Source organism: Homo sapiens, chromosome X, assembly GCF_000001405.40.
Source record: "Homo sapiens chromosome X, GRCh38.p14 Primary Assembly".
Classification (NCBI taxonomy): domain Eukaryota; kingdom Metazoa; phylum Chordata; class Mammalia; order Primates; family Hominidae; genus Homo; species Homo sapiens.
Window position 1 is genome coordinate 94,189,323 of NC_000023.11, and position 2,888 is coordinate 94,192,210.

At 34.3% G+C, this 2,888-nt stretch overlaps 1 annotated feature.

Annotated features, from left to right (window-relative positions):
* Positions 2,017 to 2,518: an enhancer, noted in NCBI's record as "NANOG hESC enhancer chrX:93446338-93446839 (GRCh37/hg19 assembly coordinates)". NCBI's record gives its function as "activates a minimal SCP1, AML or CMV promoter by ChIP-STARR-seq in primed H9 embryonic stem cells {active_cell/tissue: H9 hESC(primed)}" and the evidence as "EXISTENCE:reporter gene assay evidence [ECO:0000049][PMID:30033119]".

Genomic DNA, 2,888 nt, shown 5'->3' on the forward strand with positions numbered 1-2,888 from the left:
AAAATTCCACACTGAACTCATGTAACAGGTAATGATCAAAACAAAATTGCTCAACACATAGTTTATTTAGCATCATCAAGAAAAAAAAAAAAGACCCTCCAAACCTTTTTCAGGTGTAATATATCTTTTCCACACATGCCCAGATTCTCACTTAAAAAATAAAATGCAGTGTACAGTAAGCTTTTAATCAAAAAACAGCATCATAAGTGGAGACTGAAAGCCTGCTGTTTGTTGTTGCTGTTGTTTAATAGCGGATACAGTTATTCTCGTGATGCTATTGTGCTGCTTAGTTACCACGGACACATTCTTTTTTCACTGTATTAGTGATATGTCATTTTTTTTTTTTTTACTTTTAAGTATTGATGTGTGAATGCATGGAAGAAAATGATTGCTTATCAGTAGCCTACAAATTCAGAATAAGTAATTATGGTGATGCCAACAGCAAGATTGTCCACATGGGTAGCTGAGAAAGGAACCCCTTTGCTTACTGATGGTTCATGTACACAAACTTTGCTTCATGCACAAAATTATTTAAAACGTTGTGTAAAATCACCTTCTGGCTAAGTGTATAAGGTATATATGAAATATCAATGAATTTCATATTTAAACATGGTTTCCACCCCCACGATTTCTCATTATATATGTGGAAATATTCCAAAGTTCAAGAAACCTCTGAAATCGAAACACTTCCCAAGCATTTTGGTTAAGGGACACTCCACCTGTATCTTGACTTTATCCTTGGGTCAATCTGTTTCTATAGATAAGATACTTTGTATTTTCTGACTGCAAGTAAATATAGATGCCAGCCTTCTGGGAGCCAAAGAGCTGAAAAAGGCTGGGAGGGAATGACTCACAACTCAGGAAGTAATTGCACATTCAGTCCCCTTTATTTTCAGTATGTTAATCCCATACTGGTGTTCCTGGTGCTCTCTAATCCATAGGACCTCTGTTTTAGCTGCTCCAAAAAATAAAACATTTTTTCCTTTGCTGAGATGGAAGATTTCATTTGGGATTCTATTTCTTAAGCAATTTTTCAAATTATTCTCCTTATTTTAAAATCCTTTTCTTCATTTCCAGAGGCATTTGCTGCTGTCGATTCCTGAGTCTTTTAGAGCATTACTAATTGGATTGGCTCTAGGTTTTCTTCACCTGTAGGTTCGGATTTAGTTTTCTCCTGTTAGTTAAATCATTTATCACTCAACCATCTTCTTTCTAGTTGTCTCCCTTTACACTTTAAAAGAATTATACTTTATAGTTTGTGTGTGGGAGGAGAAGAGTGGGGACTGGGAGAGAGTAAAAATAGATGTATGTGTTCAACATCCCTAACTGCAAGTCAGGGAGATGAATCTTCCTTTTTCTGTTTGATTGTTATTGAGATTTCCTTTGTTGTGTATTTACATGATTACTTCTACAAATGTTTTGCGAAAACTTGAAAAGAAACTGTATCCTCTGTTTCTGAATTGTAGGGTCTGAATTGTAGAGTCATATATATATTTTTTTTCAGTGTTTTATAGTGCTCAAGATATATTCTGTAACACTAAAGGTGTTTCACTAAAAAAAAAGGGGTACAAACATTCAGTTATAAGATGAATAAGTTATGGAAGTTTAATTTACAGGATGATAGCTGTAATTAATATTAATGTATTGTATACTTGAAATTTGCTAAGATAGAAGATCTTAAGTGTTCTCACTACAAAAAAAATGTAATTATATAAGGTGAGGGATATGTTAATGAGGTTGATTTTGGTAATCATTTCACAATGTACAACTACATAAAACATATCATGTTGTATATTTTAAATATATCCTTTTTTTTTTTTTTTTGAGGTAGGATCTCACTCTGTTTCCCAGGCTAGAGTGCAGTGGCATAATCTCGGCTCACTCAGCCTTGACCTCCTGGGCTTAAGTGATCCTCCCACCTCAGCCTCCTGACTAGCTGAGACTACAAGCTTGTGCCACCATGCCCAGCTAATTTTTTTATTTTTGGTAGAGACAGGTTCTCACCATGTTGCCCAGGCCGGTCTCAGACTCCTGGACTCAAGTGATTCTCCCACTTTGATCTCCCAAAGTGCTGGGATTACAGATGTGAGCAAATGCACCCGGCCTATATACAATTTTTGTTTGTCAATTATACCCCAGTAAAGCTGGGGGAAAAATAAATAAATAAAAAAATAAGATTTCCGAATATTTGGGGGAAACTGCTTATGCAGTCAAGTTCTGGGTGCTGTTAAATGTGTATTAGCATATTAAAGGCCTGTGAATACCTGCAATTAAAAAAACATTTACCTTTGAAATGTTTCTCAAATGTATTTGACCATGAAATTTTTTTTCATAGCAGCTACTCATCCCACACCATTCAGAGAAATGCTGTATTAGGTCACCCTTATTTCATTATTCAGAGCCTCTGTTATCTTCTTTGGTATCTATATTCTTTATCCATTAAATATCAAAAGAAATATGCTAAAGTCTTCTCATATTAATTTTTAGTGTGCTTTTCACTTTGTGTTCACACAAAAAATACATTCCTGGGTGGCAAACTTAGTTTATAGTCGTTCTAAGACTATATCTTTTCTTAAGGAAGTTGGCTGTAGTTAGTTGATAAAATGCTGGATGTTTCAGTTTGCATTTTTTAACTTGTATTTTTGTTAGCTGTTATTACTGATATTATTGTTGTTTCAGGCTTATGTCTATATTAGGCTTTCATAGACGTGTCATGAATATCTGCTTTCCAAACTTGAATATACATTAAGTAGAAAGTAAACTACTAGACTATGAATATTCTTGGCAAAATCTAAAGTATATACTGGTGAAGAGCACAGGGTCTGAATTTAGACTACTAGATTTTAGGCATGGCTTCATCAACTATTAAATAATTATAAAAACTCTCT